Source organism: Homo sapiens, chromosome 7, assembly GCF_000001405.40.
Source record: "Homo sapiens chromosome 7, GRCh38.p14 Primary Assembly".
Classification (NCBI taxonomy): domain Eukaryota; kingdom Metazoa; phylum Chordata; class Mammalia; order Primates; family Hominidae; genus Homo; species Homo sapiens.
Window position 1 is genome coordinate 152753796 of NC_000007.14, and position 14968 is coordinate 152768763.

Below are 14968 nucleotides of genomic sequence, written 5' to 3' on the forward strand. Positions count from 1 at the left end.
ATGGGTGAAGCTTTGAAAAGAGTTTTGAAGGATGATGAGAATGAGGTAGCTGAGGAATGTTCTAGATTCAGAGGCCTGCACAAACACCTGACAATACAGAGGGTTTGAAGAACAGTGTGTGGTCTGGTATGTCCTGATGTACCAAGGGGCATAATGTGAGATGAGATTGCAAAGGTAATTTAGAATCTGATCTTAGAGAACCTTGAATGCCATAATAAAGGTTTGGACCAAATTCCATAAGAATAACACACCACTGATGGTTGTAGGGAAAGAAGACTGACATAATACATACATTCTGGAATTCTGTCCTGATGTCCCTCATAGCAGTATAATTTTCCTGAAAGATTTCTTGTAGAGACAAAAGCCTGGAGACAGGGTGACTAGTGGGAGGCTATTGAGCAGTTGAGCAAGAGCGACAGTTGGAATGAAAAGCAGGGGACAGAGACACAAGGGAAGCGGTGGGGTTGAATGACCAGGCCTTGGCAGCTGAGTGGTATAGGAGGGAAGCAAGAAGAGAAGGGGGCGTGGAGGGTCACAGTCTGAGTAATTGCCCTCGGCAGAGAAAAAAACATAGCAGAGTTGGTCTGAATATGTTCCGTCCTCTCGGTAATTTTCTTAAGACTTGTGGTTTGGGGTCTGTTATTAACTCTCTGAACACACTCAACACACTCCGGCCAATCAACTCTTGCTTGGACCATTTTCTCCTGCTGTTGCCAAGACATCAGCGAGGCCCATTGAGTCCAGTGACAGACCCTTCCTCTTAAAGGAGAATGCCAGCTACTTTCAAAGGAACGGGTTTCTAATTTTTTTGGTACTCCTTTCTCGTTTGCATCCTCATGGCAACAGGGAACACACAGCTTGCTCTTGCCTACAGCTCTGAGATTTAAGATTCGCAGAGCTGCTGGGTGGGCAGTTTTGGAAGACAGCGGTTAGTTTTTGGGTTCTTTTTCCATCTTGGCCCAGCACAACTAGTTACATGCAGGACATTAAGATCACATTGTCCGGGGACTCATGCACTAAATCCCATTAGATAGATAATCTCTGAGCCCTGATTATTTTGTTCTTAAGCTGTCTTCATATGCATAAATACACGGCATTGCCAGAATTGAATGGTGTTTATTACAAGTTCATTTGAGAGTGGTGCTGATACGAGGCAGTACTTGGGATAGTAGTTGTGAAACGGTCACATCGTCTGCTAGAGGAGATGCGGAATTGTATATGGGAGGTGTTCGGGTTTCCATGTTTCTGACTGTTGGCAGCAGGTGGAGTAGGATGCCATTGTTGGGTAGAAGTACAATAAAGAGATGCTTCTTCCTGCTGACAAAAGCCAACTAAAACGCTTCTCTCATGACAAGTTGAATTTAAGGCATAAATCAGAAAGCAGGCTGAGCTACTCAGAGAAAAGATTCCTAGGTTAATATGCATTTAGTAGCAGGAATTTTGTAAAGTATATTGAAGAGGGCAAACCTCCTTGGCAATATAATTAATAAAGATAGTACTTGAAGTGCTTTATTTTTTTGAGACGGAGTTTTGCTCTTGTTGCCGAGGCTGGAGTGCAATGGCGCGATCTCAGCTCACTGCAACCTCCGCCTGCCGAGTTCAAGTGATTCTCCTGCCTTGGCCTCCTGAGTAGCTGGTGGCATGTGCCACCATGCTCGGCTAATTTTGTATTTTTAGTAGAGACGGGGTTTCGCCATGTTAGCCAGGATGGTCTTGATCTCCCGACCTTAGGTGATCCACCCGCCTCGGCCTCCCAAAGTGCTGAGATTACAGGTGTGAGCCACCACGCCCCACGAAGTGCTTCTTATAGAGTATGAGGTTTATACCTCTGTGGGTGTTTTGCCCTAGGCACTGTCAAAATGGATGCAATCAGTTTCTGATGTATAGGAGTTAACAGTCTAAGAAGAATAACACAGAAGAATACACAGAGAATTGTCTTAGACTGTTCAGGCTGACATGACAAAATACCATTGACGGGGTGGCTTAAACAACAGAAATTTATTTTTTTCAGTTCTGGAGGCTAGAAGTCTGAGATCGGGGTGCCAGCAGAGTTGGGTTCTGGTGAGGCTTCTCCTCTTGGCTCGCAGACAGCCACCTTCTTGTGTTCTCACAAGACAGTGCTGTGTCTTCACACAATGGCCATTCCTCTTCTTGTTGATCAAACCCAATTTCAGTCAGGTATTAGCAGCCATATATTTCAGAGGAGATGAGGCCCCTCTCCAGCCCAAGGGGGTCTTCTTCAATAATCTAAGTCAGTTCAGTATATCAGGTGTGACTATTTCATAATTACTATTCTGAGTCTTGCCTCATCCCAGCACCACTCTCAAATGAACTTGGAATAAACACCATTCGATGCTGGCAATGCTATGTATGTATGAATATGAATAAACCATCCAGTGACTGCTTTTGGCACAGGTTGGAATTATGGATTGAACTGTGTCTCTACAGAAACATGCTGAAATCCTAACCTTTGGCTCTGGTGAATGTGATATTTGGAAACGGGATATTTGCAAATGTAATTAAGTTGAGATGAGGTCATTAGGGTGGGCACTAATCCAATATGACTGGCGTCCTTATAAGGAGAATGCCATGTGAAGATGCAGACACAGGGAGAATGCTACGTGATGATGGAGGCAGAGATTGGAGTGATGCACCTACAAGCCAAGGAATGCCAAGGGTTGCCAGCAGCCATCAGAAGCTGGGTATGGAACAGATCCTCCCCTAGAGTCTTCGAGAGAACATGGCTTTGCTGACACCTGCATTTGGCCTTCTGGCCTCCAGAACTGTGAGAGCATAAATATCTCTTGTTGAAGCCACCCAGTTTGTTCTACTTTGTCATGGCCACCCCAGAAAAAGAATAGAAAAAGAGCTGATTAATGACACAAGAAGAGAAGCAGCTGGGAACTTCCGGAAACATTTCCTCCCACTGCCTTTGAGAAAGGGCATCAGGATGGGGCATTTCTTCCACTGTTTTTGTCCATCATGATTTTGGTGCATGGAGGGGCTGCAGCCGTCTCAACACTGCATGGGATAAGCTGAGGACAAACGACAACACGCAGGGCCCTGGCAGAGCTGAACGTACAGGCCCATGATGATGCCATCGAATGGTCAAATTATCCTGGAGTCACTGGATTTCCTATTGTGCGAGATAACAAATTTGCTCTTTCCTTGTGCCACTTTTAGTTAGGTTTTCTGTTATCTGCCTACAAAACACCTTTGATATATCAAGGGTTAGTGGTATCTAGAGGAAATCACTGAGGTCAGGAAATCTTTTGTTTTCTACCAGCTGCTGACCATGGCCATCAATCCCAATGAGTCCTATGCAGAGAAGATGCTCCCTGAAATCGCACACCCTTTATTACTAGCCAGTCCCAAATTCCTGTAAAGACTTCTTCCCTGGTGTAGTAGCTGGGTCCTATACAAGCCTTGAGGTCTTTCTTCCTGGGCTTTGTGCATGTTTTCCATCCCAGAAACACTCTTCCACCCTACAGTCTCCTCCACCTAGCTACTCTGCCCACCTTCTGGGTTTCAGCTTCAATATCATTGCTTTGAGAAGTTTCTACTGATTCCCAAGTCAGCCCCTCTATGGCTTTCTGGGCACCCTGGACTTGCCCTGTCTTAGCATTGACTACACTGTATTGTAATTGCCTGTTTACTGTTGCTATCTCCCACTGGACTCTTGTGGGCAGATACTCTGAACATCCTGTTTACTGCTGCATGCTCAGTCTAACACAAAGCCTGACTCACAGTAGGCGCTTGATATATGTTTGTTAAGTGAATAAAATAAAAGACATGGCAGTGTCAACAGTCTGTAATTTAGAATTAATCTATGTTTAGGCTAGGGCCGTGAAAAAAATGGGAGCTGGGCTGGGAGCAGTTGTACTTGCCTGTAGTCCCAGATACTCGGGAGGCTGAGGTGGAAGGGTCCCTTGAGCCCAGGAGTTCTGTGCCACCCAGAATGATGGATCTGCACTAAGTTTGGCATCAATATGGCACCCTCCCAGGAGCGGGGAACCACCAGGTTGCCTAAGGAAGGGTGAACTGGCCCAGGTCAGAGATGGAGCCGATCAGAACTCTCATGCAGATCAGTAGTGGGACCATGCCTGTGAATAGTCGCTGCCCTCCAGCCTGGGCAACATAGTGAGACCCTGTCTCTAAGAAACAAGCAATAAGAAAAGAAAAAGAAAAGGGACCAAGGCAGGGCTTTGGCAAAACACAAAGCAAGCCAGCCAATCTTTAACCCCAGCCTTGGGCTTCTAAACTGGGATTCCTCCACACTTACTCCTTTTTATTTTCCTCCCATTTGCTTCTCTCTTCAGTTCTCCTGAACATTCTCTAGGTCTGGGCCTTAATGGGTACTTATGAGTTAAAAAAAAGAAATGATGATGGGTTACCTAGGAGTGGTCAACGTATCTATTACTTCTAGGTAAAAAACACAATGTTTTAAGTACCTGTAAAAACAACATGTCTTGGCTGGGCGTGGTGGCTCATGCCTGTAATCCCAGTACTTTGGGAGGCTGAGGCAGGCAGATCACGAGGTCAGGAGCTCAAGACCAGTCTGGCCAGCATGATGAAACCCTGTCTCTACTAAAAATACAAAAAATTAACCGGGCATGGTAGTGGGTGCCTGTAATCCCAGCTACTTGGGAGGCTGAGGCAGGAGAATTGCTTGAACCTGGGAGGCGGAGTTGCAGTGAGCCGAGATTGCGCCACTGCACTCCAGCCTGGGCGACAGAGTGAGACTCATCTCAAAAAACAAAACAAAACAAAAAAATACATGTTTCCAGAAAGCTCCTAAAAAATTAGTATCAAGAATTTACGATCGGGCAAGAAGCAGGAAGCAAGTGGCAAGTGGGACTCTCAGTACCTTTATAATATAGTAGGTGGTGTTTGCCTTCTTTGGTTTCAGTAAGAACTTTTGGGCGATCATCCCATCTTCGACACTTGAAAACATTTTCCAGGAGTGATCTTGGTGTGGTTTACTCAGTCTAAGGCCATTCATTCCTTAAGGCTGGCCAAGCATTTGTTTTGCAGATTTTTCTTCTTAGAAAAATTTAGGCCGTGTTAGGTATAATAATTCCAACTAATTTTTTTTGTTGTTTTTTTGAGACAGACTCTCGCCCTGTTGTCCAGGCTGGAGTGCAATGGCGCGATCTTGGCTCACTGCAACCTCCGCCTCCCAGGTTCAAGCGATTCTCCTGCCTCAGCCTCCGGAGCAGCTGGGATTACAGGCACCCGCCACCACGCCCGGCTAATTTTTGTATTTTCAGTAGAGAAGGGGTTTCACCATGTTGGCCAGGCTGGTCTGGAACTCCTGACCTTGTGATCCACCCTCAGCCTCCCAAAGTGCTGGGATTACAGGCGTGAGCCACCGCGCCCGGCCAATTCCAACTAATTTTTTTTTTTTTTTTTATTATATGGGGAAGGTTACTCAGTCATTCAACAAACATTTGGGCACTTCCACAGGTACACCAAATACTGTGCTAAGCACCTGCTGCTCATCAATAGTGATTAAGACAGACTCAAGCCCTATCCTAGAAGATTTGATAGTCCAGTAGGGGAGGCAGACAACAAATACATAAATATAAAAATATAAACACTTTGCTTTAAGGGTTAGGAATGAAACCAACAGATTGTTGAGACAGAGGATACAGTACCGGTAGGGGACATAGTCAGGGTGATCAGGAACAACTTCCCTCGCAAGGTGACATTCGAGCGAAGACTTACAGGAGGAGAAAGGCGCCAGGCCTCGGAAATGGGGTCACGTTCATGTAAGTCAGTTAAAAATAAACCCCAATCTCTCCAGCAGCAAGGTTGGACGTATGGGGCCAAGAAGCCTCGCTGCCAGCACTAAAGATGGCGCGCCGGAGTGGGGGTGGGGGTGTTGGGGGAGGCGGGGCGTGCGCGCGTTCTGATTGGCCGACCGGGGAGTGACGTCACGTGTCGGCCGCCGAGCATCCGGGCTCCCGGCAGCGGCGCTGCGGCGGCTCGCGGGAGACGCTGCGCGCGGGGCTAGCGGGCGGCGGAGCGGACGGCGACGGGGCGCTCTCGGGCTGCCGGCGGGGCCGAGCGCCGCGCGTCCCGAGCATGGCAGGCTCCCTGCCTCCCTGCGTGGTGGACTGTGGCACCGGGTAAGAGCAGCTCGGCGCCCACCCCCGCTCCTCCGCGGCCCCGCTCCCGGCCCCTGGCGTCCACCTCGCCTGGAGGTCGAGCTGCGTCCGTCGCCCCGGGCTTGAGCCCCGCGATCACCTGGGCAGGTGGGGCGCCGGCCGCCGCTTCCCTCCAAGCCTTGCCTTGACGTCGTAAAACCCCCTCTTCCCTGCCGGGAAGGGCCACAAGAGGAAAAGCACGGAGGGTAGGGACGCGGTGCCCACTCTGAGCGAGCCCGGCGCTCCTCGCCTCCCCCGCCCACGTGGCCGGGCCCCTGGACCCGCAGCCCGGCTCCGGCCGTCGCCGGGGTGGACACCCTGAGGGACACCGGGAGCGCGGGATCTCCCCTCCTAGGAATATTCGCCAGCGTGAGGCACAGATCATCACTGCAGATCCTTTAACGTCACTCATCTCCTAGTGAACGGTGTCCCTGCCTTCCAGCGTTCTCAGCACTGGCCCTCGTTCTGTCCCCGCGTGTGCGTGTCATTCCTCCTGGCTGAGGATTCTTTACCACCTACTTGTGGAGAGAATAGCATCGATCTCCCAACTTGATACCATTTTTACTGCCCTCCCTGCGCTTTTCCAGTATGAAATGGCACACTCAGGCCAAGCTGTCCCTTTGGTTTGCATAGATTTGCCTTTTCGCTGAAAAATGATGTGTTTAAAAAGACTCCATTTTGAAAAATACCCTAAATTTGGGAGAGCATGTTTGTGGAATTGTGGTAGAGGTTTTTGTTTTTAACTTTTTGAGTGTGACCACTTCTTTCGTTGCCGTTAAGCTATTAAAAAGAGATCTTAGGAAATGCCCTGAAGTATCGGTGACCCAAGTTAGCTGGTTGTAGTAAGGTGATTGCTGAATCCATGTAGCTGGTAGTTTGGGAATACAAGCTTGCCTGCCTGCGTTATGGGTGTAGTGCTTAGTAAAATAGCCTGGAAGTAAATTTGGTCTCTTAGCGATTTTTTTCAAGAAGGGATTTTAATCATTTTTGCCACAAAATGTAACATGGCATGTTCACCTTACCCTTGATTCTTTTCTATAGAAAAATGCACTTGGTTTGGTTTCCTTGACAACCTTGTGGGGGTGCCTTCTTTAGTTTGCTACAGTCCATCTCCTACTGTTAGTTCCTTCCTTTTGCTGCTGAAGCGACCAGAAGTGGTTGTGGACTGGAAAAATCCTCTTTGCTTGTGTGAATTCTTTTTGAAATACACGTCATATCAAGCTTTGTAGCTCTTTATTTTAGAACTTGCTTTTCTACCTAAAACACAAGCCAAAATCAGCGTTGTCGATACTACAGCTCCCCTCCCTCAATTATTGACACCCTTAACTCATGCCCTCCCCCAATGGGTTCACCTCAGGTCCCCTCAGGTCTGGTTGTGTCAAGAGTGAAACCAGTGGGTGAAAGTATTTTTCATTTCCACATTTGCATGTGAGATTTTTGCTTTGTAGTTTTAGTCTTGCAGAACTATTAAAATATAAAGGAATTCTTGGTAGTAGCAATAAAATAATGCTCACAGAGTTGTCATACCTTTAAGATTAGTAAGTCGTGGACCTTACTCATCTTTCTTGCTATAAATACCTAAAATGTCGTGCTCAGTTTTGACCTTTTGAGGTAAGTGATTAATGTAACTTGGCTAACTTGGAGATTCAACTTCTATAGATCATTGTTTTGTGGCCCAAAGTCATGCTTCAGAAGTTGGTGTCAAGACTTAGAAACGGTGGCAGGGAATCTCCATATGAATTCCCCATATCGAGTGTATGGCCAGAAGGAGCCTGAAAGAGCCCGAATTTACCAACTTGAGCACATCAGTAGTTCTTACATTTCCCAGAGAGCCAAAATGATTTTTGGATTTAGTTTTGCCTCAAAATAGGACAAAAAGTGGTAAAATTCAGATAAAAATAACCAAGCCAAAGGAAAAGAACGGACCTAGGAAGTCACCCTGAGCTTTAGCCCAGTGGCTGCTGAAGTTGGTCCGCACATTCGACCTTAGTCTTCCTGTCTGACAACATCATAAGAGTCATGGTTATGTAATTCCTGTCATCAGAAATCAAGAGAAATACCTGTTTCTTGGGTGAAAAAAGCCTTTTTTTGTAGTACTAAATTGTAAAAGCATTGAGCTATACATAGTGGGCACTAATGATTTATTGGACAGTGTGATAAACAGTATTTTTTACAAATAAATTTCATCCCAGTATCCTTGAATCCTCCTCAGGTAAACCCCGAGACTACCTGAGTAAGCAGTGATGTGCTGGAGGCCAGGATAATATGGACAAAGGGATCTGCTGAGTCCAAAAATAAAGCTTCATCTATTTAAAGGGATGACTAGGCTGCATAGTTTTCAGAGAATATTTCACAACTCCGGTCTCACTTCTCTGAGCCAAACTTTTCAAATGAAGTCTTTTGCATTTTTCAACTTTTTTTGAAATAATTTCAAATCTACTGAAAGCTGGAAGAGAACAAAAAACTACTGTATACTCTTCTTCCAGTTTTACCAACTGTTAACATTTGCTTTGTCACTCTCTGTATGTCCATACATATTATTATTACTTTCCTGCACTGTTTGAGAGTAAGTTGCAGAGATCATACCCTTTTATATCAAAATACTTGAATGCGTACTTTCTGAGGACACATTTTCCCTTCTAGAATCACATTCCAATCATCAAAATCAGAAAATTTAACATACATACAGTAGTATCCTATATACAGTATGGATTCATGTCTTTTATGGAATGTCACCCATGAAAGACCTCCCCATCAGCGGCATACATTGCATCTGGTGGGTGTCATGTCTTTTAAGTCTAATTTAATCTGGAATAATTTCTTAACCTTTTTTTGTCTTTCAAGATGTTGGCATTTTTGACAGCCAGTTGTTACCTAGTGTTTCTCTGTGATAGATACAGGATATGCATATTTGTCAGGACTACCACAGAAGTCCTGTTGATCCTTCTTAGTGCATCCCATCGAAAGGCTTAAGATAGGGACTCGCCTCAGTCTTGATGAAGTTCACTTGGATCATTTGGAGAGGGTGATGTCCACGAGGTTTCTTCACTGTTCAGTTACTATTTTTCTTTGTAATTAATAAGTCATTTGGCTGGGCGCGGTGGCTCATGCCTGTAATCCCAGCACTTTGGGAGGCCGAGGCGGGCGGATCACCTGAGGGCAGGAGTTCGAGACCAACCTGGCCAACATGGTGAAACCCCGTCTCTACTAAAAATACAAAAATTAGCTGGGTGTGGTGGTGCGTGCCTGTAGTCCCAGCTGCTTTGGAGGCTGCTCAGGAGAATCACTTGAATCCGAGAGGCGGAAGTTGCAGTGAGCCGAGATCGGGCCACTGCACTCCAGCCTGGTGACAGAGCGAGACTCCATCTCAAAAAAAAAAAAAAAAAAAAAAAAAAAAAAGTCATTTGTGGGGGAATATTTTATGTAAGTACTCTATTCTTAAACTTTCATCCATTAGTTTAAGTATCCATTGGTGACTCTTGTTTTTTTCTTTTTTTTTGACAGAATCTTGTTCTGTTTCCTAGGCTGGAGTGCAGTGGCACAATCTCTGCTCACTGCAACCTCTGTCTCCCAGGTTCAGGGAATTCTCCTGCTTCAGCCTCATGGGTAGCTGGGATTACAGGCATGAGCCACCATGCCCGGCTAACTTTTTGTATTTTTGGTAGAGACGGGATTTCATCATGTTGCCCAAGCTGGTCTTGAATCCTGATCTCAAGCAATCCACCCGCCTTGGCCTCCCAAAGTGCTGTGATTACAGGCGTGAGCCACTGTGCCTGGCCCATTGGTGATTCTTGCCTGAATTACTAATTATGGTGATGGTTGCAAAATGGTGATTTTTGAACTCTATTATTCTGTCTCCATTTATTAGTTAACATTTTATTTTAAGGAAGAACTTATCCATAGGCCTCATTTGTTTATTGTCTGTATGAGTTGTCGTTCTGTTCAAAGAATGATAATCCATTATGCCGTCCTCATTGTTGTCAGTGGGTTATCTATTGCTTAAATTGTCCCAGATTTTGCCAAGTGAAGCTCATTCAGGCTGACTCCCATGTTCTTTATTTTTTATTTATTTATTTTTTGAGACGGAGTCTTGCTGTGTTGCCCAGGCTGAAGTGCAGTGGTGTGACTTCAGCTCACTACAACCTCTGCCTCCCGGGTTCAAGCGATTCTCCTGCCCCAGCCTCCTGAGTAGCTGGGATTATAGGTGTACACCACCACGCATGGCTGTTTTTTTGTATTTTTAGTAGAGATGGGGTTTTGTCATGTTGGCCAGGCTGGTCTTGAACTCCTAACCTCAGGTGATCTGCCCACCTCTGCCTCCCAAGGTGTTGGGATTACAGGAGTGAGGCACTGCACCTGGCCTTCCATGTTCTTTAGACATGTCTTCATTTTTTGAGCATTCTGGCCAGGCGCAGTGGCTCACACCTGTAGTCCCAGCACTTTGGGAGGCCGAGGATGTGGATCACGACCCGTGGTCAGGAGATCGAGACCATCCTGGCTAACACGGTGAAACCCCGTCTCTACTAAAAAAAAAAAGAAATACAAAAAAATTAGCCGGGCACACTGGTGGGCTAATTTTAGTAGTCCTAGCTACTCAGGAGGCTGAGGCAGGAGGATCGCTTGAACCAGGAGGCGGAGGTTGCAGTGAGCTGAGATCGCGCCACTGCACTCCAGCCTGGCAACAGCGAGACTCCATCTCAAAAAAAAAAAAAAAGAAAAAATAAAGCAAGGATATCTTTTTGTATTTTTTGCCTGAGTATCTGTGGCTTAGATTTTTAGAAATGGGATTTCTGGGTCAAAGGGCAAATGCATATGTAATTTTGCTAGGCAGTGTCAAATTACACTCATTAGTGTGCATTCTCACCAGTAATGTGTGAGGATGCCTGTGTCTTACAGACTCACCAATAGAGCCTATTGCCAATTTGTAAAATTACCAACCTAGAATAAATGATATCTTAATGTCTTTGTTTTGTGTTGCTGTAACAGAATACCACACACCGGGTAATTTATAAAGAAAAGAATAGAATGGTGAAGGTGACAGCAGTTAGTTGGAGTGAGCATCCTCCAAAGTTCTACAGTGTGGCCGAGGACCTTGATTGTACATTGTTCTTTATTTTACTTATTTATTTTTATTTTTGTTTTGAGACTGGGTCTTACCCTGGCCCTTTTTTTTTTTTTTTTTTTTTTCCGGAGACAGAGTTTTGCTTTCATTGTTCAGGCTGGAGTAGAATGGCGCGATCTTGGCTCACCACAACCTCCGCCTCCCGGGTTCAAGTGATTCTCCTGCCTCAGCCTCCCAAGTAGCTGGGATTACAGGCATGCGCCACTATGCCCGGCTAATTTTGTATTTTTAATAGAGACGGGGTTTCTCCATGTTGGTCAGGCCAGTCTTGAACTCCTGACCTCAGGTGATCTGCCTGCCTGGGCCTCCCAAAGTGCTGAGATTACAGCCATGAGCCACTGCGCCTGGCTTTTTTTTTTTTTTTTTAAATAGTCATTCCACATATTGTGAGATGCATTGTTACAGGAAGTCCCTTGCCCTCCCAAAAGCCACCCCACTTCTCTCAGGAGAACGGCCCAGTTCTCTCCTGAGTCCACAAAGGGGAGGTTACAGGATTGCTTTCATGTAAATTATGTAATGCAACATTTAAAAAAATCTTCACCTTAATACTTTTTGTTTTATTTTGAATAATCAGCTATCATGGTCCCCATTTTTGTCCCTACCTTGAGATGTATGAAGGCTTTTGGTCTCCCTGGGAGTGGGTGGAAGTGTGGAGGCATCCAGGGCATACCTGTACACTGACTTGAGACCAGTTCAGTAAAAGTGCACACCTTAAAAAAAGAAAAAAAAAAGTTTATTTGGCTCACAGTTCTGGAGGCTGCAGAGTCTTAGAGCATGGTGCCAGCATCTAATGAGGCCCTGCGTGCTGTGTCATCCCATGGCGGAAGAAGGAAGGGCAAGAGTGGGTGAGATTGTGAGCACGAGAGAAGGCTGAACTTCATATTTTAACAACCCACTTTCATGATTATGATAATCTTCGCATTTATTTTTTTCGGTCTCTTCATTTCTCTAACTTTTCTCTGGGGTTTTGGTCTTTTGCTTCTTCATTTTTAGAAGCTCTTCATGTATTAAGGTCTGTTCAGGGGTTCCGCAGACCACTCCCAGTTCCAGTGACTTGCTAGGAGGAATCAGGACTACGGTGAAAATGTACAAAGCAAAAACAGCCAAGGGAAAAGATGTGGGGTGGAGCCTAGAGGAAACCGGGGCAAGCTTCCCGAGTCCTCACCCAGTGCAGCCGTGCAGGATGCAGTTAATTCCTCCAGCATCAGGCTGTGACAACACGTGTGCAATGCTCCGTACCAGGGAAGCTCCTCAGAGACACAGGGCCCAAGGTTTTCACTGGGGACTTGTCATGCAGGCACCCTGTGCATAGCACGTGCCGGAATTCCAGAGTCCCAGAAGGAAAGCAAGGCATTGGCATAAACCACGTTGTTTGCCACTCTAGGAGCAGTGAACTACTTTTAGCATTTAGGGAATGGTGGGAACGCCTGAACTCCAAGATCCTAGATACCAATTAAAGGCCATTCCTCCAAGCAGGACTTTCTAAGAGACAGCAGTCTCAGGCCCATTAACTTTCTTCTGCACATAGAGAATATTAACCCTTAATGATATACGTTGCAAATATATTTCCCCTATTTATCATTTGTCTTTTACCATGCAAAGTTTGTTTTCTTTAGGCAATCGGATTTATTCATCTTTTCTTTATTGTTTCTAGATTTTGAGTCATAGTTAAGAAAGGTTTTTTTCATTCCCAGATTACATGGTGGTTTCTTTTCTTCTTTTTCTTTTCTGTTTTTTTGAGACAGAGTCTCACTCTGTTGCCCATGCTAGAGTGCGGCGGCACAGTCTCCACTCAGTGCAACCTCCACCTCCTGGGTTCAAGCGATTCTCCTGCTGCAGCCTCCCGAGTAGCTGGGACTACAGGTGCATGCCACCACATCGGGCTAATTTTTGTATTTTTAGTAGAGAAGGGGGTTTTACCATATTGGTCAGGCTGATCTCAAACTCCTGACCTCAGGTGATCCACCTGCCTCGGCCTCCCAAAGTGCTGGGATTATAGATGTGAGCCACTGTGCCCAGCTGGTAGGTTTTTTTTTTTTTTTTAATGGTTTCATTTTTTTCATTTAAATCTCTAATTCATTTGGAATTTATCCTGAGATAAGGTATGAAGAATGGACCCAGTTGGATCCACTTTTGTGTGTGTGTGGCTATGGCTGTCCTGTTTATCTCAACATAATTTATGGAAAAAACCCAATGACTGGAGATGCTGCCTTTATCATATGCTGCATTTGTCTATGCAATTGTGTTTCTTTCTGGATTTTGTATTGTGTTGAGTTAGTCTATTGGTCTGTTCATAATAGCAGCACCACACAGTTTTAATTAGGCTCTTTAGAATGATTTCATTTCTAATGGTGCCGGCTTCCCCTGCCCATCTAATTCCTTTTTAGGGCTTTCCCATGTATTTTCGATTGTTGTTCCTCCAAGTGATCTTTGTAATCAGTTTCTCTAGTTCTGGGAGAGAAAGCCTGATGGCATTTTTATTGGGATTTTATTAAACTTAAAAATTAATTTAATGAGCATCATTATCTGTATAATACTGAGTCTTCCCATCAAAGAACATGGTTTATCTCTCCATTAGTTCAAGTCTATTTTGTGTCTTTTAGGAATATTGTGGTGTTTCTGCAGGTAGATTTCTTGTTAACTTTATGTATTTGATTTTTTTTTGCTATCATAAATGGTGCCTTCTCTTCCATTTTATCTTGTTTTTCTTGAATATATGAAGATTGTTAGTTTTTTCATTCCTAGATTACATGGTGGTTTTTCATGGTAGTTACTCATTTTATAACGTGCTGCTTTACAGAATGCTCATATTATTTGTATAAATTTTTCCCTTGATCCCTAGGGATTTTCAGATATAAAAACTTGTCATTGGGCCTGGCGCAGTGGCTCACACCTGTAATTGCAAGCACTTTGCGAGGCCGAAGCAGGCAGATCACTTGAGGCCAGGAATTTGAGACCAGCTTGGCCAACATGGCAAAACCCTGTCTCTTCTAAAAATACAAAAAAATTAGCTGGGCGTGGTGGCACACGCCTGTAATCCCAGCTACATGGGAGGTTGAGGCAGGAGACTCGTTTGAACCTGGGAGGCGGAGGTTGCAGTGAGCTGAGATTGAGCCACTGTACTCCAGCCTGGGCAACAGAGCCAGACGCTGTCTCAAAAATAAAAACCAAAACCTGTTATTGGCAAAAGAGATTGTTTTACCTCTTCCTTTCCATTTTTAGGGACTCTTAACTGCTTTTTTATTGACACAGTGCAGAGGCCATTACCTCCAAAGCAATGTTAATTTAAATCAGAGTGGAGTTAGTGGGCATTATTATTTTATTCCTGATTTTAGTGGGATAGTTCTGGTGTTTGTTTGTTTGTTTGTTTGTTTTCACTTATTGTGGCCTAAGAGGGTTTGCGAATGTTCTTTGTATTCATTTTTTTGAGTCAGAGTTTCACTCTTGTTGCCCAGGCTGGAGTGCAATGGAGCGATCTCGGCTCACTGCAACCTCCACCTCCTGGATTCAAGCAATTCTCCTGCCTCAGCCTCTCAAGTAGCTGCAATTACAGGCGCCCGCCATCACGCCCAGCTAATTTTTTATATTTAGTAGAGACGGGGTTCCACCATGTTGGCCAGGCTGGTCTCGAACCCCTGACCTCAGGTGAGCCACCCACCTTGGCCCCTCAAAGTGCTGGGATTACAGGCATGAGCCA

General features: G+C 45.2%; 1 protein-coding gene and 1 pseudogene across 15 annotated transcripts in view, besides 5 other annotated features; both read left to right on the forward strand.

The window, feature by feature from the left end:
* On the forward strand, positions 3867-4156 carry RN7SL845P (RNA, 7SL, cytoplasmic 845, pseudogene; annotated as a pseudogene).
* Positions 5599-5758: an enhancer, noted in NCBI's record as "active region_26884". NCBI's record gives its function as "activates an Ori minimal core promoter by ATAC-STARR-seq in GM12878 lymphoblastoid cells {active_cell/tissue: GM12878}" and the evidence as "EXISTENCE:reporter gene assay evidence [ECO:0000049][PMID:35858748]".
* ACTR3B (actin related protein 3B) overlaps positions 5957-14968 on the forward strand; it is a 95627-nt gene continuing 86615 nt past the window's right edge. For 14 of the 15 annotated variants that reach the window (NR_146947.2, NR_146951.2, NR_146950.2 and 11 more), the window contains exon 1: positions 5957-6131. Coding sequence is in view for 3 of the 15 variants with exons in the window: in NM_020445.6 (NP_065178.1) it covers positions 6088-6131 (44 nt within the window). In the remaining 12 variants the exon portion in view is untranslated. Of the gene's footprint in view, positions 6258-14968 lie in introns of all 15 variants that reach the window. The other variant, NM_001350942.2, reaches the window with a different exon arrangement.
* Positions 6009-6528: a silencer, noted in NCBI's record as "silent region_18837". NCBI's record gives its function as "represses an Ori minimal core promoter by ATAC-STARR-seq in GM12878 lymphoblastoid cells {active_cell/tissue: GM12878}" and the evidence as "EXISTENCE:reporter gene assay evidence [ECO:0000049][PMID:35858748]".
* Positions 6009-6583: a biological region, named in NCBI's record as "Sharpr-MPRA regulatory region 2063".
* Positions 6289-6583: a silencer, noted in NCBI's record as "tiled region #2063; K562 Repressive non-DNase unmatched - State 1:Tss". NCBI's record gives its function as "represses a minimal TATA promoter and a strong SV40 promoter by Sharpr-MPRA in K562 cells {active_cell/tissue: K562}" and the evidence as "EXISTENCE:reporter gene assay evidence [ECO:0000049][PMID:27701403]".
* Positions 6759-6808: an enhancer, noted in NCBI's record as "active region_26885". NCBI's record gives its function as "activates an Ori minimal core promoter by ATAC-STARR-seq in GM12878 lymphoblastoid cells {active_cell/tissue: GM12878}" and the evidence as "EXISTENCE:reporter gene assay evidence [ECO:0000049][PMID:35858748]".